The sequence below is a fragment of the Homo sapiens genome, chromosome 2 (genome assembly GCF_000001405.40).
Source record: "Homo sapiens chromosome 2, GRCh38.p14 Primary Assembly".
Classification (NCBI taxonomy): Eukaryota; Metazoa; Chordata; class Mammalia; order Primates; family Hominidae; genus Homo; species Homo sapiens.
The window spans coordinates 74,220,194-74,241,257 of NC_000002.12; the positions used below are offsets into that span (position 1 = coordinate 74,220,194).

General features: G+C 48.8%; 1 protein-coding gene across 3 annotated transcripts in view, besides 2 other annotated features; it reads right to left on the reverse strand.

The window, feature by feature from the left end:
• SLC4A5 (solute carrier family 4 member 5) overlaps positions 1-21,064 on the reverse strand; it is a 127,175-nt gene that overhangs the window by 3,952 nt on the left and 102,159 nt on the right. For 2 of the 3 annotated variants that reach the window (NM_133478.3, NM_001386136.1), the window contains 10 exons: positions 19,142-19,342; positions 14,908-15,021; positions 13,209-13,370; positions 12,276-12,454; positions 11,043-11,115; positions 7,617-7,685; positions 6,764-6,937; positions 4,647-4,802; positions 2,675-2,759; positions 1,241-1,308 (listed from right to left, as the gene is read on the reverse strand). In NM_133478.3, the coding sequence (NP_597812.1) occupies positions 1,274-1,308; positions 2,675-2,759; positions 4,647-4,802; positions 6,764-6,937; positions 7,617-7,685; positions 11,043-11,115; positions 12,276-12,454; positions 13,209-13,370; positions 14,908-15,021; positions 19,142-19,342 (1,248 nt within the window). In that variant the 3' untranslated portion in view covers positions 1,241-1,273. Of the gene's footprint in view, positions 1-1,240; positions 1,309-2,674; positions 2,760-4,646; positions 4,803-6,763; positions 6,938-7,323; positions 7,372-7,616; positions 7,686-11,042; positions 11,116-12,275; positions 12,455-13,208; positions 13,371-14,907; positions 15,022-19,141; positions 19,343-21,064 lie in introns of those variants that run through there. The other variant, NM_021196.3, reaches the window with a different exon arrangement.
• Positions 969-1,263: an enhancer, noted in NCBI's record as "tiled region #13618; K562 Activating DNase matched - State 18:Pol2". NCBI's record gives its function as "activates a minimal TATA promoter and a strong SV40 promoter by Sharpr-MPRA in K562 cells {active_cell/tissue: K562}" and the evidence as "EXISTENCE:reporter gene assay evidence [ECO:0000049][PMID:27701403]".
• Positions 7,909-8,409: an enhancer, noted in NCBI's record as "H3K4me1 hESC enhancer chr2:74455229-74455729 (GRCh37/hg19 assembly coordinates)". NCBI's record gives its function as "activates a minimal SCP1, AML or CMV promoter by ChIP-STARR-seq in naive H9 embryonic stem cells {active_cell/tissue: H9 hESC(naive)}" and the evidence as "EXISTENCE:reporter gene assay evidence [ECO:0000049][PMID:30033119]".

The window sequence follows — 21,064 nt, forward strand, 5'->3', positions numbered from 1 at the left end:
TTTGCCCCCACTATGTCATCATCAGGGAGTCTCACCTTTTTCACGGGTGGCTTCTCATGAAGAACAATCACATTGTTGGCATGGGGGCTCCTGGCAACTGGCCTTGAACCTATTCTTAACAGTTCCCATCTCCAGTTGATCTCTGATGTTAGCTTTGATGTTGATCTCTGATGTTGGCTTTCCTCCATACCCTTTCTGACCTTTGCTAATTAACCCTGCTGTTAATTCATTCTACAGAGTACCCCAGGGTTTCGATCCTTAGCGTTCATTTATCCTGGCTTTCAGTGATATTACACTTAAGCCATGCCTAGTTTTTCTGTTTTCTTTTTTTTTCTTTTTTTGAGATGGAGTCTTGCTCTGTTGCCCAGGCTGGAGTGCAGTGGCGTGATCTCGGCTCACTGCAAGCTCCGCCTCCCAGGTTCACGCCATTCTCCTGCCTCAGCCTCCCGAGTAGCTGGGACTACAGGCGCCCACCACCATGCCCGGCTAATTTTTTGTATTTTTAGTAGAGACAGGGTTTCACCATGTTAGCCAGGATGGTCTCCATCTCCTGACCTTGTGATCTGCCCGCCTCAGCCTCCCAAAGTGCTGGGACTACAGGCGTGAGCCACCGCGCCTGGCTTCTGTTTTCTGTCAATATTTCCTTTCTTTTTTTTTTTTTTTTTGAGATGGAGTCTCACTCTGTTGCCCAGGCTGGAGTGCAGTGGCGCGATCTCGGCTTACTGCAAGCTCTGCCTCCTGGGTTCATGCCATTCCCCTGCCTCAGCCTCCCTAGTAGCTGGGACTACAGGCCCCCACCACCATGCCCAGCTAATTTTTTTGTATTTTTTTAGTAGAGACGGGGTTTCACCATGTTAGCCAGGATGGTCTCGATCTCCTGACCTCGTGATCCACCCGCCTTGGCCTCCGAAAGTGCTGGGATTACAGGTGTGAGGCACCGTGCTGGGCCACAACGTTTACTTTCAATTTTTGTTCTACCTAATCTTTTATAAGAATTTCCTTTACTAAAGTTGAATACCTTTGTGTGTTGTAACCATGTTGTTAAGTCAGTAAGAAGACATACTTGTTTCTTGGCCCTGAATGATGAGTCAGGTTTGTCAGCCTTTGACTCCCAGTTGGGGGCCAGCAAGGGCCTTCTACTGAGAGGACAGCTAGCTTGGGAAATCCTAGACCCTCCACCTTCCCGGCCATTTCCTAGTCTCTTACCTAATACGCAAGGAGTCTACCTAACAGTGTTTACCTTCGGTCAAGTTCTGTGTCACTGAAGGAAGAATCAGAGTGAGTAACTCCAACTGGAAGATCTTTTTCCTGGCAGGAAAATGAAAAATGTCAGATGTGGAGCAGGTTTGAGCACCATATTTCTCCGGGCTTCCCCCACCATTTCCTTTCTTTTCCTTCTCTAACCCTAGAGCCAACACTATGCAAGAGGAATACGGGGCCTCAGAGATGTGTGGCTTCGGGCTTAGTTACTCCTTCACCCAGAAGGTGCTCAGCCAGGGCTAGGGGGTGTGAGGCATGGGAGGGCCAGGGAAGAGAGAAATAGGAGTGGGGGAGGAGTCTGAGAAACTCAAGATCTTGAGGTACCTATGATGGACAGTGCTGATGGGAAGGATGCCCTGGCTACCCACCCCTAATCTGTCTTTGAGGGTGGCAAGCCCTGTATTAGAAGCACGGGGCTCGGGACTAAGGTAGGGATCTTTCAGAAGACCTCGGGACAGGCTATGTTGCCTGGATGACAGGACTGGCCACCTATAGGGAGCTGAGGCTGGGAGGGGTTAAAGGCAGTAATATAATCTCCCAGGATTTCCATAAGCAATGCCCAGTCCCTCCTAGGCAGCCTCCCTCTCAGCTGTCTGCTGAGAAGGTGCTGAGGATTCACACAGAGGCACAGCACAACCACCACGAGGACCTCCAATTATGCCTGACTTATAACCCAAGTGCTATGCTACCTATTTCTCTAAAGGGAAAAGCTTGGTTCTGAGCCCTCAACCATTTCAACAGCCACTGGAAAACATGGGAGGCCTGGTGGGCCATGTTTGGACTGATGTGGTCTGAAACAACATAGAAGAGGGCCAGGAGATGCCACAGGGATCTGGGGACACCTGGGGAAAGGAGGGAATGAGGGATTTTGCCTCAACTAAAGTGAGAATTAGTCGAGTCTGCAGGCTTTGCTCTGGGGTTTCCATCTGGTTGGAGTACCAGTCCTGGTGGCCCAGTTCTCTTTGATCTCTGCCAAGGACAAAGGTCTTCTAGCGCAGGGGTCCTCAGCTCCCAGGCCATGGAACAGTAGCAGAACCAGGCCGCACAGCAGGAGGTGAGCATGGGCGAGCAAGCATTAACCCCTGTGCTCCAGCTCCGGTGGGATCAGTGGCAGCAATAGATTCTCATAAGGGTGAGAACCCTATTGTGAACTGTCCATATGCAGGATCTAGGTTGCGTATTCCTTAAGAGAATCTGAGGTGGAACAGTCTCATCCCAAAACCATTCCCCACTCCCTACTGGTCCGTGGAAAAACTATCTTGCACAAAACTTGTCCCTTATGACAAAAAAGTTGGGGACTGCTGCTCTAGCATCCAAAATGATTAGATCCCCCTGAGTTACAGATGAAAGTTCCTAGGGGAAAGACATGGAGGACTAGTAGTAAGAAGGGAGAGACATCATGTGTTTTACTTACTGGCAATGCAGTGGATACCGTTTTGGGGATCTGATTGGACACTTTCCATGGGAATCTTTATAACCGAGGGAGGAGGGAACTGGGGCTGGAGAAAAACAGTGGGAAAAGAGGATAAACACCAACACAACAATTTGGCTTTCTTTTTTTTTTTTTTTGAGACAGAGTCTCGCTCTACTGCCCAGGCTGGAGTGCAGTGGTGCGATCTCGGCTCACTGTAACCTCTGCCTCCTGGGTTCAAGTGATTCTCCTGCCTCAGCCTCCCAAGTAGCTGGGATTACAGGCGTGCACCCCCATACCTGGCTAATTTTTTGTATTTTTAGTAGAGATGGGGTTTCACCATGCTGGCCAGGCTGGTCTTGAACTCCTGACCTTGTGATCCCCCCTGCCTCGGCCTCCCAAAGTGCTGGGATTACAGATGTGAGCCACCGCGCGTGGCCAACAACTTGGCTTTCTTGCCAAGATGGAAAATGCATGCATGAACATTGCAAACCACCATTCTGTTCACCTCTAAACAGTTAGGGGATGCTGCAAATACCCTGGGGTCCACTGAAGGGGAATGGGCACAGTTAGCCTGCTGTCCTATACACACCATCAGACAGACCGGAACTCTTCCAGGAATGTTACTCATCAAAACAGTTTTATCTGTCACAGCAACCAGTCACTTGGGAATGAACCTCACACAACAACTGTGTTGCTATAAGACAAGTAAAATGAATTTGTATAAATTGAATCCTGTTTTTCCATTGATATATCATAATTCAGAGATTCTTTTTCCCAACCCTGTAATAGTTCTTGGCATGTGGTAGCCACTCAGATATTTATTGAAAGTATCAACAAAAGAAGTATTTGTCTTTAAAAGGCACTTAGTCTCTGTTTCTTTGTTTTCAGAACCCACCTTTACAAATCATCTACAAACACATGCATTATGGGACTCTTCCTGGAAGAGCACAGTAATTAAGGACCAGGGGAGTTCTGACTGATCAGAAGATGGTTTAATCACCACCAGCCAGTCAGAAGGGATTTGCCTTGAACAGGTTTCATCTGCACAAGGCAAAATCACGAGAACAGGACAGGGTGGATGCAGGGACGTGAGTTTGGGTCAAATTGGGAGATTGGGAACCAAGCACAGCATTAGGAGATGGCACAGGCAGCTTAGCATATCAGAAACCAGCAAAGTCAGGAATTATTTTCTTAATTCCTTCTTAGAAATGTAGCTACATGTCCATTTTGGGTAAGTCACTTCCTTTTGTGGGGACAGTTTCATCATAAGTAATGAACACATGAATTAAGAATCTTTCTGCCTCATGTTTTGTGATTCACTATAATTTCTGGACTGGCCCCTTGTCTGTTGACTCCCTGAGTGTTTTGGGGATGAAATGGGAAGGGACCATGGGAGAAGAGGGGCAGATGGGGCAACCATGTTGTCCCAGACATCTGGGAAATGTAGCCAGTCTCCTTTTGGCGAGGATACCTGCCTCTTTCCCCATCTTTGTCCTCAATACCCTAGGCAAAGGCGCAAGCAAAACTTGTTCCCAGCCCCTCCTGCCTGTCTGGAGTCCAGTCTACTTATAAGGCCCCATTAGACACCTCTCCCCAAGTCTGCTCCACTCTTTGGAGGTCAGTCTTCATAACCTCCTTCCATGCTGGAGCTGCCTCCTGGCCCTTCCCACAGGAACCCGCTTGCTGTGATCACGGCCGTAAAGCCCACAGTGATGGAAAGAGTGGGCATGGCCAGTCACCTTTTCCCTGGACAGGGAGTCTCATTCACTCTGGCCCACCCTGAGGATATTCACATAAACAGAAGAGCCCTCAACACCCCAGACCAAGACAAGCAGATGCCCCAGCCCATCCTGGACTGGGCCGAGGCACTGCTGCAGGCCACCCAAGAAGCCGCCCTCTCCCTGTCCCTGGCAAAAGTGGAGAGAAGGTCTCTCAATTTCTCCTCTGTGCCCCGGCCTCACATCTTCCCCACCTCCTCATCACAGTCCTCGTGGGCCCCTTTTTTTCTCTTCCTCTTCTTGTCTGTCTCCTTTTTTTCCTTCTCTGGGAGGATGTTGTCAATCCAGGCCAGGTCGTGCTGGGAAAAGATGAAATCCAGAAGCCTTCGAACGATGATGAGGCCCAGGATCTGTGGTGGAGAGAGACTAAAGTTTTGTGAGAATTTGGAGAAAACTGTGGTCTCAATGCCCAAACTCAGGCATAGATTTTTTTCTCCCTCAGTCGGCTGAGTTCAGGGACTTTTTGTGGTGTCTTTGGAGCCGTCTCGAAGCTCCCATAAGCCATTATTCACTTTCCCTCCACCGTAGTTCCTCTTGTCTGGCCCCTCAGGTGAGTGACCATGCCTACCAGTGACCAAGAGGGACGGAGCCTGTGACAGCCGAAGTGGGGAGCCTCAGAAAGGCCATGGGCTGGAGAACTACAGTTATTCTTTAAATTAGTGGTTCTCAGCCAGGCGTGGTGGCTCACACCTGTAATCCCAGCACTTTGGGAGGCCGAGGTGGGCAGATCGCCTGAGGTCAGGAGTTTAAGACCAGCCTGGCCAACATGGTGAAACCCTGTCCCTACTAAAAGTACAAAAGTTAGCCAGGCATGGTGGTGGGTGCCTGTAGTCCCAGCTGCTCAGGAGACTGAGGCAGAAGAATCGCTAGAAACCGGGAGGCGGAGGTTGCAGTGAGCCAAGATTGTGCCACTGCATTCCATCCTGGGCGACAGAGCAAGACTCCATCTCAAACAAATAAAATAAATACATAAATTAGTGGCTCTCAAACTTGAGCATGCACCAGGACCTGGAGGGCTTGTTAATTAATACACAAATCACTGGATTCCCCCAGTTTCTGATTTAGCAGGTCAGGTAATGCCTGAGAATTTATGTCTCTAACCACTCTGTACATTTGCCAAAACTCATAGACCCACACATTGAATTTTACTGTATGCAAATTAAACAAAAAAATCAATAGGTGGAGGGTGTGGGTCTTGCCCTGCCCTATCTGGCTGTGTGTCCAGGGTCACTCTGCTCATGCTCTCTGAGCCTCATTTTCTCATCTGTAAAGCGGGGTTATTAGTGCTTTGGGGGCTGGTGTGGACTCAGTGGAACAGTACTCAGTAAATGCTAATCATGACTACTACTGCCTTTCCCTTCGCCAGCTCTGAGGCCCCTGAGGGCACTGGGGGGAGGATCTATCTCCCTTTCCCTGCAGTGGGGGTTCTCAACCCTGGCTGCAGGTCTATGCTCACCTGTGGACCTCATAAAAATACCAAAGTCTGGGTTTCCCTAGAGATTCTGATTTGTTGATCTGGGTTGATTTTCATGGGCAGCCCGGGTCAAGAACCATGGACTAGACCCCTCCCAGCAGTGTGCACTTCAAGTTCTCCTCAGTGTCCTTACTTTGTCCCCTACCCCAGAGCCCTCAGGCTTTCCCCAGGCATTTGCTGACACACTCCAGGCTCCTGGCAAGGGCCTGGGTCACTGCCCTCGGTGAGTTATCTAGGGGGCCAGATGCAACATGTTGTTGGCTTTGCATTCTTTTCACTTCTTATTTTGGAGTAATTTCAAACTTATACAATATTTGCAAGAATAGTGAAAGACCTGTAACCTTTCCCTTGCTCAAGCTTTATATATACCATCATTGGGTTTTGTTGTTCTTGATCTCTGACCCTCGTTCTTCCCCTGCCCCCCTACTTCACTATTTAGCTTTTTAAATTTAGCTATCTTGAATGGTGGAAAGATCTATATTTAGTACGCATCGACTTCTGAGACTGGTTGGAATTTTGGCAGTGGGAACTCGGTCTCCTGGTTGAACTGATTTTCTTTCTCCGTCCCTCCCTGGAGCCAGGAGGTAGGGTGGCTCCTGGGTTCTCACTGAGCGGCTCTGACATTCCTTCCTCCGCCTCCTCTCTGCCCCACCCCACACCATCTGGCCTGGACTCACAACTCAAATCAGGTCATTCTGTGCCAGCCTCCGTGACCCGAGGGAGCCAGGCCACAGCTGACAGGAAGGCAGAAGGTGGCAGGAGGGGAGGTTGCGCTGCACCTCTGGGTTGCCCAGGCCAACCTGCCAGGCAGGAGGGGGAAGCCCGTGCCCACTTTACCATGACCGGGAAGATGATGGCAGCCACCGTGGATTTGAGGATCCAGAGCACCGCCAGGCAGAGGATCTGCACCAGGGTGAAGAGGTGGATCCGGCGCAGCGGCACGTGCCGCAGGAAGGCATGGTCCGGCTGGTGCTTGGCTGGCATCAGGAAGAGCTTGCAGCGTTCCCAGAACTAGGGGGACAGCGGGGGCTCAGCCAGGCAGCCAGACCCCGAGGGCCCGCTGGGTCCTGGGACTAGGGGAAGGGGTGCCTGGGTGGGGTCTCAGAGAGGGGAAGCCCCCTGCTCAGGCCTTAAGGATGCACGGGAGGGGGGCTGGAGGTGTCTAGGCGGATGCATAATGGGGTCTTAGAGAAAGGGTCCTGAGCCCTGGGTGAGGGGAGGAGCCCTGGAGCTGGCCACAAAATGGACATTGTCCATATTCAGGGAAAGTGCAAGTTAATTGTAACACAAACTGTTTAAGAATTCTGGGATTTCACAGTAAATACAGAACAAAACAAAAATGTTTTCTTCTGCATAGCTGCCTTAGGGAAGAGAGAGAGGTACAGTGAAATGCTCACTGGAGTCAGCTTCTTCTGGATTTTGAATTCTGACCCTCCGGTCCCCATCTGTAAAATGGGGATCAGAGGACCTAATTACATAGATTCAATTATATGAGGCCTATGAAGTGCCTAACATATTTATTTTGCCTGATAGCATCAGTAAGTGGTAGTATCATTATTACTATTATTCTTTCATTGAATTAGGACAATTGGGGACAATTGGGACAACTGAATTGGGGGTCTTGGTGACATGGAACCAGACATGGAATGTTGACTCCAGATCATGAAGGGATCTGGAGGGAAAGCCTTACCTGGATGCCATTCAGGGAGGCCACGCCCATGTAGAGGAAGACTCCGTACAGCACCGGCAGGGGGATACACTAAAATGAGAGCAGAGCTTTGGATCGGCCTCTGCCTGGGGCGGCCCTTGGCCACCCTGTTCTGGATGACAGTGGCTCCTGACCACAGAGGCAGCTAGGAAACTGGATATTTGGGGGAACAGAGAGTCAGCAGAACTGGGATGTGGGCAGGGGTGAAGATGAGGGTCACTGGGGCTGTACTGCCCCTTCTCTGGCTGGGGTAGCTGGCCCAGCATGCAGCTGCTCTCCTGGCCTGGCCCCTCACTGCACCGTGCGGAGGCCATGTGGTCTGGCTAAAGAAATGCCTTCTGGAAAGTGAGAAGACTCCACAGACTGCCCCCTCCTCATTCCTGCCCAGCTTCTTCCTACCTCCAGCCTCAGCTGAGGGTCCCCTAAAACTGCTCAGCCTGCAGGGGCATGGGGACTTTTAATGAGCTGATCTACATCAGCAGCGAGTACCCGGGACACTTAACAGAAATCACGCATCCGGCCGGGTGTGGTGGCTCACACCTGTAGTCCTAGCACTTTGGGAGGCCAAGGCAGGTGGATGACCTGAGGTCAGGAGTTTGAGACCAGCCTGGCCAACATGGTGAAACCCCGTCTCTACTAAAAATACAAAAAAATTAGCCAGGCGTGGTGGCACATGCCTGTAATCCCAGCAACTCAGGATGCTGAGGCAGAAGAATCGCTTGAATCCGGGAGATGGAGGTTGCGGTGAGCTGAGATCGTGCTACTGAACTCCAGCCTGGGCGAAAGAGACTCTGTCTCAAAAAAACCAAACAAAGCAAACAAACAAACCCCCCCGCCCCCCAAAAAAACCAAAAAAAAACAGAAATCATGCCTCATACGCAATCACATACAAAAGAAGCAGAACAAAAGTGTGTAAACTAATCAGCACTCATCACCAACTAACCACCAATAGTTTGGCGGGTATCCTTCCCTCCAAACTTGCACACAGGCAATTTGTTTGCTTTTTCAAAAATGGGATCATAGAATTCATCCCACTCTACAAGAATGATTCCAAATCTTCACAGCCTTTCAAAGCATTCTTCCGCTGTCTCTCTCAGCTGTTTCTGCCCCTTACCTTCTCTCTTTCACCTGCAGCTGTGGCTCCCCATGGTGAGCAGAGGCTGTTCCTCCTTGTGGTCATGTTAGAGCACTCCGGAGAGCACAGAGCACTATGCCAACACTAGGAGGGCTTTAGAGGAATTTTTTGCCCCTAAAGAAGTCTGTTCTTAGATTTGAGCTTTTTTTTTTTTCTTGAGACAGAGTCTCGATATGTTGGCCATTCTGGTCTCAAACTATTGTTCTCAAGTGATCCTCCCACCTCGGCCTCCCAAAGTGTTAGGATTACAGACATGGGCCACCATGCCTGGCCGATTCGAAGGTGTTTTTTTTTTTTGGGGGGGGCACGGAGTCTCACTCTGTCTTGCCCAGGCTGGAGTGCAGTGGTGCAATCTCGGCTCACTGCAGCCTCCACCTCCCGGGCTCAACCAATTCTCCCGTCTCAGCCTCCTGAGTAGCTGGGACTACAGGCATGTGCCACCATACCTGGCTATTTTTGTATTTTTAGTAGACACAGGGTTTCGGGTTTCACCATGTTGGCCAGGCTGGTCTTGAACTCCTGACCTTAGGTGATCCACCTGCCTCGGCCTCCCAAAGTGCTGGGATTACAGGCTTGAGCCACCACACCCAGCCTGATTCGAGCTTTTTAATGCAAATACTTGTATGTTAAACAGTGTCAAAATTGACATACACAATGGCACCTTAGAACCCTCTCTACAAAAGTAAGTAGTCCCTGGCCATTTAAAATATATTTTTCAATAAACAAAATGCTTGCCCTCCTGTGTGTAATTTGTTTCCCCCACAAGGGAAATATCCCTTAAAAAATGCCAGCCTCCTACTTACTGCTCGGGTATGCCCAGCACCAATTCTCAAGCCAGAAATATTTTCCATTGTAAATACATCAGCCAGAATCATCATTCTTTAGCGTTTGTTTCTTACAAGGTCACCTCTGAATGAGGTTTTTTTTTTTTTTTTTTGAGAAGAGGTCTCACTCTGTTGCCCAGGCTGGAGTGCAGTGGCATGATCATGGCTCACTGCAGCCTCGACCTCCTGGACTCAAGTGATCATGCCTCACATGTACCATCGTGCCTGGCTAATTTTTGTATTTTTTGTAGAGATGGGGGTCTTGCTATGTTGCCCAGGCTGGTCTCAAGTGATCCTCCCACCTCGGCCTCCCAAAGTCCTGGGATTACAGGCATGAGCCACCATGCCTGGTCATGAGCTGTTTTGAGATATTCAAAGAGGAAAAATAATATCGGCAAAAGGTTGAGGCAATTACAGGTAAACTTAATTCAAGAAAGGAAAGTCTTACGTGGGCACTGATCAAGGGAAAGGGAGAGTGATGGGCGATTGGCTGGAGTGGAGAGCAGGGAAGCCTGGTGGGAACACCTTGCTTTCTGGAGTCTCTCCAGAAAGAGACCCTTGTGGGGGACGCCTGCCTCCATTGTACCCCTACTTGACTTAGTCTCTTAGCTGTTGTGGTGGGACATAAGCAAGAGGAGCTTCAAGCTGTGTGGGAAAAAGTCACTCGAGTCCCCAGACTTCCTGAGCTCAGGTGATCCTCCCGCCTCAGCCTCCTGAGTAGCCGGACTACAGGGATGTACCACCATGTTTGGCCTCCTGCTGCAAGTTTTAAACTTCATGAGCCCCAAACCCTGGCAATGTGGAAACACACCCCATTCAGGAAGTTCCTGATCTAAGCAGGGCTACAACTTGGCAGAACTTTCAGAGGGAAGAGTATCCTCCAGAAAGGTGAGAGTGGCCCTGGGATGGGTGGGAGAGAGGATTGGTGATGATAAAAAACTGCAGTATCACAGAAAACGGCGGTGACAGTGTGGAAACATTGCTTTGGCCTAGTAAGACTGTGCCTTTCTTTTTCTTTTCTTTCTTTTTTTTGTTTTGAGACGGAGTTTCGCTCTTGCTGCCCAGGCTGGAGTGCAGTGGTGCGATCTTGGCTCACTGCAACCTCCACCTCCCGGGTTCAAGCCATTCTCCTGTCTCAGCCTCCCGAGTAGCTGTGATTACAGGCACGTGCCACCATGCCTGGTTAAGTTTTGTATTTTTAGTAGAGACAGGGTTTCACCATGTTGGTCAGGCTGGTCTTGAACTCCTGACCTCAGGTGATCCGCCTGCCTCGGCCTCCCAAAGTGCTGGGATTATAGGTGTGAGCCACCATGCCCGGCCAAGACTGTGCCTTTCTTAGGGGGCTGATAGGCCAGTGATCCCTAGCCATGTGGGGACCCCCTCCCTGCCTAAGGCATCCGCTCTGCTTTCTCAGGCAACGAGGCCCTAGGTGACAGTGCAGGACCTCACCTTTAGGATGGGAGCCAGGAAGACAGAGATTCCCGTCAGGATGAAGACGATGATGCCGGTTACTCTCTGTTCCCTGGCAGAGAAGAACACATGGTCAGGGTGTACCAGGAAATGCCTGGCAACTACTCTGGCCCTCCTGCCCCTCTGTGGGCACCTGAAGCTTGTGTCCAAGGCCATGGCCTTGAGGGCTTCTGCATGAAGCTCTGCCTGGTTGCCTGAGGCCCAGCTGAACCATATGTGGGAAGACAGGCGGCCCCTGACTGGGGCAAGGGCATCTTGCAGGAGCATTGAGGGAGGCCGCTTAGTGTAGTGGCTTGTAGCTGGGGGGCTTGAGCAGGACTGATGTGGACTGGATCCTGGCTCTGCCACTTGCTAGTTATGTGGCATTGGGCAGGAGCCTGCCCATCTTGAGCCTCAGTATATGCAGATAATAATGGCACCTATTGTGAGGATACATGCGAGATAAAATGCTATTACTCTGCCCTTTGATTTTAAGATTTCGTTTTTGTGGGGCACAATGAATGAGGATCTGGGGAAGAGGACACCAGCAGAGCAGGTGTCAGGGGTGGGAGGCAGGTGAGCCCTGCAGTCGGGCAGAGAAGCCTCATTCGGGCAGGCTGGGCGGTCCAAGTATCTCAAGATAGTGGGAGAAGTTCTTAGGGCAGCCACGTAGGAGAAAGCCAGGGTTTGGTGTGGTCTCGCCCTGGAGGCCCTAAGGGGCTGAAGATGTACTTCTCTGCCTACCATGGGGCGTGAGAGAAGAGGCAAGTGAAGGAACAGGAGTAACAGGCAGGGCCACAGACTGGGGAGCGGGGGTGATCCCAGGACAGCCTTCTGGAGGAATAGAGACTGAGCAGGACCTGAACCCGCAGGAGGGCCATCAGGGCAGTAGGGGCCTGGAGGGTCTTGAGGAAGAGGAAAAGGGCAGGACAGCACGAAGCCTTGTGGGGACCTTGGGTGGCTGATGAAGATGAGTGTCTGGCACGTGTGCATATTTATGGATGGGGTATGCATACTGCTTGGAGCCCAGTAGGTAAAAAGCCCCACTTAGAGCTGGACTTCTGTCTCTCTCCTTCCCTCCCTCCAGGGATAGCACTCCTGTCCCTGTGGTTCTTGGGCCGTCAGAGCGGGGGCCCTTTTTGTCCAAATCCTTTTGTGGCAGGCAAAGCCAGCTTCTCCTCCCCGAGTGGGCCCCTCCCCATTGGGTGATCCCTAGGCCCTGACCCCTCCTACCTGACTCCCAGAAACTGGGGCTGCTCCCCAGGGGCACTGGTCTCTGTCTCCATCTTGAGGCTGTCGATGTGGGCGATGGAGATGACCGTGGCAGCCACGTACCAGGGGAGCCCCATAAAGGAGCACAAAGCCATGAGGATGCCCACCCAGAACAGGTCCAGATGGTAGCCGGCAGCCTTCTGCAGGAGCGGGGTTGGGGGAGGGAGAAGTTTCTGGGGAGCCAGTTCCTCCTGGATGCAACCATTCTGTGGAACATGGTTCAAGGACCCCCTGCCTTCCAGAAGATACTGAAGGGGCCTGAGGTGCTCCTTGCAAGGATTGCAGAGGTGGGTGTGTCCTGCCACCCCATCTGAAAGGGTGAACTGCCTAAGGGGTATGGGTCATAGAAGAGAGGGATGTTCAAGCTTGGAGAGGCCCTGGGTTTGGGTCTCTGGGGAGAAGGGCCCAGAAGGTGGCCACAGGGTCTTTGCGGTTCCTGAGGGGCCCCAGCTGGGACAGGCCACACCTAAAGTGGTCCAGACCTGGATGGGGGAGGGGGTGACCCGAGTCTTCTCAGGCTCACAGGCTGGGTGGGGAGTTGCAGAGACCAGGAAGGCTAAGGAAGTTCCTCTGCCTCAGTGTTCTAGGCTGAGCCCCTGTCAGGATCTGCTGATTCTCATAAGAACTCGAGGTCACTTTGGGAAAGACAGAGAGCCTGTGCCCAGTGGCCCAGCCTAGTTTGGTCCTGGTCCTCAGAAAGTCACTCCAGCCCTGGTGGCCTTACCCACATCTGGAGGTCACATTTCCCCCTCAACACACCAAGTGGGAACTCTAGTCTCTGTCCTCATATTTTCCTGGCCCAAAGTACTGAAAGAAGCATCATGTCCTTCCTTCGCTCTTTCTGACTTTGTGGGAAGAAAGAGGTTATGCCTCTGCTCCTAGTACCGGCCTTACCTTCAGTTTGTTCTCCTTCCGGTTGACAATGACGGCAGTGATCTGCTGGTCCATGAAGATCAGGATGGTCACCAGCAGGGCGGGCAGGATGCTTGCTGGGTATACCCACCACGGGTTCTTCCCAAAGGGGGCCACGAACCAGCCTCGGTCAGGCCGCGTTGGCTGAGTGGGAGCAAACAGAGAGGGGCCCTTTCCTCTCTCCCTTGTCCCAGGGCACTTGTCGCCTGGCCTGCTGTCCCACCTCCTCAACTTTCCCTGACTTTGGGTACTTTTCAAGTGCAATCTTTTCCCTTAAACACCTTAGGTAGCTGCAACTTTAGACTAAATTCAGACATGGGAAGGAGCATGCATGCAGACAGTGTCTGTAAAACTAAGAAGGTAATTTGCTGCAACAGCCCTGGGGTTTGTCAGGAAACATGGAGGTGAAGGTCAGAGGGCAGCCAGGAGAGAGAGCACAGTCACCTGCTGCAAATAACAAACAGCAGGAATGAGGCCCAGCAGAAAAGAATAAAGAAATGGGTGGGCCCAGGGCCAGCTGCTTCTGCCTCTCCTGAGTCACCTGTCTGGGAGCATTATAGAATTGTCTGTAAAATGCTGAACATCAGTTCAGTCCTGCATGTTCAGAATGAGGAGAATATATAAAAAGACTTTGTCTCAAAAAACAAACAAACAAACAACAACAAAAAAAACCTTAAAGACAGGGAGGGTAAGTTCTAGAATCTGGACTCCCTACTCTGGTGAGATCGTTGGTGCTCTTTTTTTTTTCTTTCTTTCTTTCTTTTTTTTTTTGTTTTTGAGACAGAGTCTTGTTATGTTACCCAGGCTGCAGTGCAGTGGCGTGATCTCCGCTCACTGCAAGCTCTGCCTCCCGGATTCACGCCATTCTCCTGCCTCAGCCTCCCGAGTAGCTGGGACTACAAGCGCCCGCCACCACGCCCGGCTAATTTTTTAGTATCTGTAGTAGAGATGGGGTTTCACCGTTACCCAAGATGGTCTCAATCTCCTCACCTCATGATCCGCCCACCTCGGCCTCCCAAAGTTCTGGGATTATAGGCGTGAGCCACCGCACCTGGCCGGTTGGTGCTCTTATGAGGGAGTAGGGCTGGGTTTAGCTACAAGCATATGTCACCAGTTCTAACTAGTGGGTAATTTCTAAGCAGTGGTTCTCAAACTTGAGCATACTCCAAGTCACCTGAAGGGCTTGTTAAAATGCAGATTGCTGGTCCCACCCCCCAGCTTTTCTGATTCCACAGGTGGGGCCGAGAAATTGCATTTCCAACGAGTTCCCTGTGACTGTGATGCCATGATATTGGTCTGAGGACCACACTTTGAGAATCACTGTTCTAAGGGATCAGTTTCAATGGATCCCATTTGGCCCAGCTTATAGATTGCTAGAGGTCAGGGAACTGGAGACACTCAAATAGGAATCAAGAGGCTTCTGCTGGGTTGGAGGGTGAATTCCAGTGCCTTCCTCACCTCGTGACTATAGATCAGGATTTCCTGGTGAATATGTTACCCCTCCCCGCCCTACCTCAAAGGACTGGCTCCTGGGAGCCTGTGTTCAGGAAAGGTGGCACACAGAGAACTAAAATGGTCTCTTGGCCAAGAGGAGAAGAGAGTTTGATCAGCACAGAGGGGAAAGAATCTGCAGCTGGTAGGCAGGCAGACTGGATGCCCAGAGCGAGGGAAAGGGGCAAACCTTGATGACACTGGGCACATGCAGCTTGGGAGTTTCTAGGCCAAAACAGGCATCGATTCCACAGAACATCAGGATGGAGAAAACAATGGAAAAGTCAGCCACCAGGGCCCGGACCTGCAGACAGGAGATGAGCAAGTAAAAGAAGTGAGTAAAGCACCCACCCAGCTCCAGGCAGCCCCAGTCCTCCGGCAGCAAAGAGGTGAACTATTACAGTCTGGGCTCTGAAGGCAGCAGAACTAGGCTCAAATCCAGGCTCTGCTCCTTGCTAACTGTGTGAGCTTGGGGAAGCGTGTCATCTCTCCAAGACTCAATTTCCTTCTCTGTAAAATGGAGATGATGGTAGTATCTCCCTCAAAGGTGTAAGTGAACTGTGACACATTTAGAGTGCTTGGCATATGGTGGTCAATGTGGGATCTGTTATGATCCATATGGCCATGGCAGCCACTGCTGAAGATGTGTTCTGGTATGACAGTCTGAACTGGGGCACCCAGCAGGTATGATGAGGGCAAGGGCTGGACTCTGAAGCAAACCTTAGTTCCTACAAGCCTGTGACAGGTTGTTGTACCCCACCTGGGCTAGGAGGGAGGCTCCCCAATTCCACTGGGGATCATTGGCTACACTCAGACCTTTTGTCCACCAAGAGTCTCTTGTTCCGCTGTTTCTCAAGAGGCCCTTCCTAGGCCAGGTTCTGAACCTGGAGGCCCTTCCTAGACCAAGTTCTGAACCTGACCTTCCTGCCCATTCTGAATCAATGTCCTCCGACCTCCCCTCCAAACCAACTCTATGTCCAGAAGTCTCAGGACAGATGGTCCCCCAACGTCTACCCTGTGGCCTTTTTAATATCTTTTCAAAGAAGGCAATTTGAAGGGCAGGGGCAGGTGACAGTACATTGACTTCATTCCCTGCATCCCCCTTTTCTCTTTAAATTTGTTATTAACATAACATATGTAATTGGTTAAAAACCCACATAGTGGAAAATACTTATGAGGAAAAGCAAAGTCTCCCACCTCCCCTTTTCTCAATCCAGCCCCGCCTTCCAGATCTATCCACTATGTCTGCTTGATTTTACTTGTTCCAGAGGTTCCCTCCATGTCATTAACTAATATGCATATACTTTAATATTTTCATTTACTAATTTAAGGGATTATCTATTGATAAGAATTTACCTTTACTTACACTGTGCCTCCTGTCCTTTCCTTATTCCTAATCTTTGATAGTTAATTTTAAGCTCCTATGGGTTTCCTTTGTACTTTCAAGTGATAATAATTAAACATCTCCTTCCATTAGCTTTGGCTAATATCTCTCATTCTCCATCTTGCAAGGTGAGGACCACTGCCTCTATCCTCCTACCACCTCTCTCCTCCTCCCCTCTTCCTTCCTGTCACACCTCCACTTTGACCTTTCCATTGTCGAAGCTGAGAACAATCATTTCTTGTTCCGTAAACACATGGCTTGTGTGTTTTATCTGTAAGTCAATTCCAAAAGTTGAAAATTAGTAACAGCTTTATATTATCATGATCATATAAATATTAGTCACAGCAGAACCAAGTAGTGTGCTGGGTTTATACTTCCTTTTCTATAATATTCCTAGCATATACATCAAAACCATATGAATGCTTATTAAGTTAAACCACATGAACTTGACTTTTTTTGTAGGTTGAAACAGTCAAATATGGGCAACTTCATATGGTCCAACCTAATCAGAGAGTGTCAGTTGCTCTCCAAATTGGATGTATCTGTCTACATTCCCACCTACTGCTTTCCATCTCCAACATCTGGTGTCCCAAGACCTTCATCTGTCTACCAATCTGATGAGTATAAAATGGTGTGGCCTCATTCCTCTCTGCAACCGGAAATTCCAGAAGGCAACTGAGCAATTTTTTTTTTTTTTTTTGAGACAGAGTCTCTCTCTGTCGCCCAGGCTGGAGTGCAGTGGCGCAATCTTTGCTCACGGCAAGCTCTGCCTCCCGGGTTCATGCCATTCTCCTGCCTCAGCCTCCCAAGTAGCTGGGACTACAGGCGCCCACCACAACGCCCGGCCAATTTTTTGTATTTTTAGTAGAGACGGGGATTCACCATGTTAGCCAGGATGGTCTCGATCTCCTGCCTTCGTGATCCGCCTGCCTGGGCCTCCCAAAGTGCTGGGATTACAGGCGTGAGCCACTGTGCCTGGCCCAACTGAGCAATTTTTAAGTAATGTGACGGAAAAAATGTTGTTGGCACAAGAATTTCATGCCACATGAATTACTTTTCATCCTGTAGGCAACAGATAGATACTCTCAGATACAGTGACTGCTTGAGAATTTTTACATAAGAGGAGATTGAGGGATGTGCTCTGGACTGGAAGTGGGCAGGAAGGAAGAGAACTTGTCTTGATGGTGCATTTGTGTTGTAAGCAAACTATTTTTTTACTCAGTTTATATACTGTGAAGCTTCCTAAAGCACCTTTTATTTAGTCTTTAGAAAATCTGGGAAAAATTCAACTATTTATTTCAAAGATTTTATCATTATGATTAGTAGCAGTAGCAGCTGTAATACTTAGTTAAGATGGCTTTAGGAGACTGCTAATGGAGTTTACGGTGGGAAAGAGTTGCTTAAATTCTTCCGAGTACCCCCCACCCCACGGCACAGTTACTGCTTATGTATGCAAGTGCTGTTTTCATAAATCTTTTATTCCAGCCACAAACAGGTAGAAAATAAAATTTAAAACAGCAGTTAGGGCTGGGTGCGGTGGCTCACACCTGTAATCCCAGCACTTTGGGAGGCTGAGGTGGGGGGATCACCTGAGGTAAGGAGTTCAAGACCAGCCTGGCCAGCATGGTGAAACCCCGTCTCAACTAAAATTACAAAAATTAGCCGGGTGTGGTGGCAGGCGCCTGTAGTCCCAGCTATTTGGGAGGCTGAGGCAGGAGAATCACTTGAACCCGGGAGGCGGAGGTTGCAGTGAGCCGAGATCATGCCATTTCACTCCCACCTGGGTGACAGAGTGAGACTCTGTCTCAAAAATAATAATAATAATAAAATAATAATAACATAGCAGTTAGCATTTACGACGGTATAAAAAAATCAAGTACCTAGGAATAACTCTAACAAAAAATGTTCAAGACTTAAAGATCAAAATGTATAAAACATTATGGAGAGAAAGAAGACCAAAATAAATGAAGTATACTGTATTCATAAATCAGAAAAACTCAAAATTTGAAAGACGTTAATTCTTCCCAAACAGAGGCAAAGATAATCCCATCAAAATTCCAACAAGTTTTCATTTTGGTGAAATTTAAGATGATTCTAAAATTCATGTGGAAATGCAAAGGGCCAAGAAAATATTATATAAAAAGGACAAAAGGGGAGAGCTTGGGAGACAAAGATATAAAGACTTATAAGCTACAGAAATGAAGACTGTGATACTGATATATAAATAAACTAGTGAAACAGAATAAAGAACCCAGAAACAGACCCTGTCATATAGGAATATTTGATATATGGCAAAGGAAGTATTGCAAAGCAATGGAGAAAGAATAGTCTTTAAAAAATACTGGAACAATTGACTATATAAAATCACAAAGAAACACTGTCTCACAGTACACATCAGAATCAATTCTGATGGATTGTAGATCTAACATGAAAGGAAAAACAATGAAGCTTTTAGAAGGTAACATACAAGAATATCTGCTGTCCAATATTTGCCTTGAGGAAAGTTTGATATATTCAATTACAATAAAACTAAGAATTTCTGTTAATCAAAAGATGCCATTAAGGATGTAAAAAGAAAAAAACAGTCACAGAGTGGGAGAAGATTTTGCAACACATATAATCACAAAAACATTTCTACCCAGAATATATAACAAACTCTTGCAAATCAGAAAGGCAGACAACCCAAAATGTGCAAGAGATTTCAACAGACACTTCCAAAAAGAAAGGCAATTGGGCATGTGGCCAATAAACACAGGAATAGCTGTATTTTCAACTTCATTAGTCATCAGGGAAATGAAAAATTTAAAAAACACAATGAGATACTACTATAGACAAAGACTAAAGATAAAAGCCTGACAATACCAAGTGTTGTCAAGGGGACCAGCCAACAAGGGAACACAGTTCTCTCTGACTTAACTTGAAAAACCCCAGTGGGCCAGTGCTCGCATGGAGTCCATCCTGTCGGTGGACCAGAACCCTCTCTGGGGGACTCAGCAGCTGTCTGACTGCAGGTCCCCTCCTAACTGCAGGGTGAGCTTACCTTGGTAGGAAAATAGCGGCTGAATTTGAACTTCTTCAGGGTCAGGGTCATGGAGTATGTCCCAAAGAAAAGGATGAAGGACATGAGCGCCAGGTCTGGGATAAACTTGCAGGAATTCCCAAGCAGGCGCCCGCCGTAGCTCAGACACTCCTTCTTGCTCAGCAGGGACCAGTCCAACGCTGTGAGGTTAAGGAGGTTGTACTTGGAGACCAAGCACAGGAGAGAATGGGTCAGCATCTTCCTGATGAGTCAGCTGTGTCCTTCCCACTGCAGTCCCCAGGCAGCCAGCATACCTTCCCACCCTCTGAGGGACCCCAGCCCCCCAGAGTGATGTTCCTGGGGACGGGCTGGTTCAAGGAATGACAAGCTCCCTAGGAAGATTAGGAGCTCACATGTGTTTCTTCATTGTGTTCTAGGATGCACTGCTGTGCTAGCAAGTAGGAAAAGTGCAGAGGCAGGATGCCTGGCTCCCATCAACCAACCACAGGTCCTGTGGACGCCTCCTTCCTGGAGTGTCTCATCTTTATTCTCTCCCCTCCATCCCCTCTGTCACACCCTTTCATATATGGGGGATCACCTCCCTTGTCAGTCCCCTCTTGGGTCATTTCAGCCATTCCCCACCTTGGTGTCTCAGATGCCTAAAATCCAAGGCATACACAACAGTGAATTTTTATATATAAATTTATTTATATATACATATATAAATTTATATATATATATATATAAATGTGTACTGTGAGACACACTCTGATGTGTACTGTGAGACAGTGTTCCAAGCCCCACCCTCACCCCATCTTAGCTGGCCTAGCCCACCCACTAGCCTCTGCACAGGTTTTGTGCTTTTCCTCTCTTGCCCTTCTGTCTATGCTGTTCCTTCAGTCTGGAATGTGCTTTTCTCTGCTGAGCCAACTTTTTCCCAACCTTGAAGACCAGATCGCATTCTACTTCCTCTTTGAGGCTTTTCTTGGCCTCTCCAGCAGCCTCCTTTCCTGCCTTCAAGATTGATGTACACATTTGGCCTATATTTAATGCATGGTACATTCTGCTTATGCTGTCCCATAACTTTTCAGGTTCTTCTCTACAAATATATTAAAAACAAATTTGAGGACAGGTTCTGTGTTGGTTTCTTAGATGTCTTTTTTAGCCTTCAGTGCACATGGCCCCTTGCATATAATAGGGATTCAGAAATAGGCACTGACTGATTCTGTTCTTTCTCTCTCAAAATTTGATACTTGGCCAGCCTGGGCAACATAGTGAGACCTTGTCTCTACAAAAAACTTAAAAATTAGCCAGGCACAGTGGCTGATGCCTGTAGTCCCAGCTACTCGAGAGGCTGAGGCAGGAAGATCACTTGAGCTCAGGAATTTGAGGCTGCAGTGATGATACGATCACACCACTACATTCCAGCCTGGGTAACAGAGCAAGACCCCATCTCAAAAAAAAAAAAACCCTAATCTTTGAAAAATATTAAGTTAAATTGCCAACTAGGATGTGTGTAGGCAGAGCAGTCAATTGCCTAGGCAGGAATAACTTAAGAAGCAACCTTGGAGACAGTAAAAGCTCACAAATGTCCCCCAAGTCCTACCAGGTGCTACCTTCATCTGGAATTGAACTTCTATCATTAAGCCACTTAGGCTGGGATGCTGGCTCCTGAAGACCACTGTCATTACTGGGAAAGGCAGACCATACCTTAGGCCCCAGAGACTAAGGTGTGCAAAGGACACATTAGATTCATTGAGGAAGAAACACTAATAAACTCTCTGGGGCTGGAGAGTGGCACTGCTAGAAATTGGGGGTCCTAGGCAGAAAGAGAAGGAAGAAGGCAGAAAAATGAATGGCAGGCTTTGCTTACAGCTTTGTGAGGCTCTATTTACCATCCCTCATCTCTACTTCCCCTTCCTTTGTGTGCGTGTCATATTATTA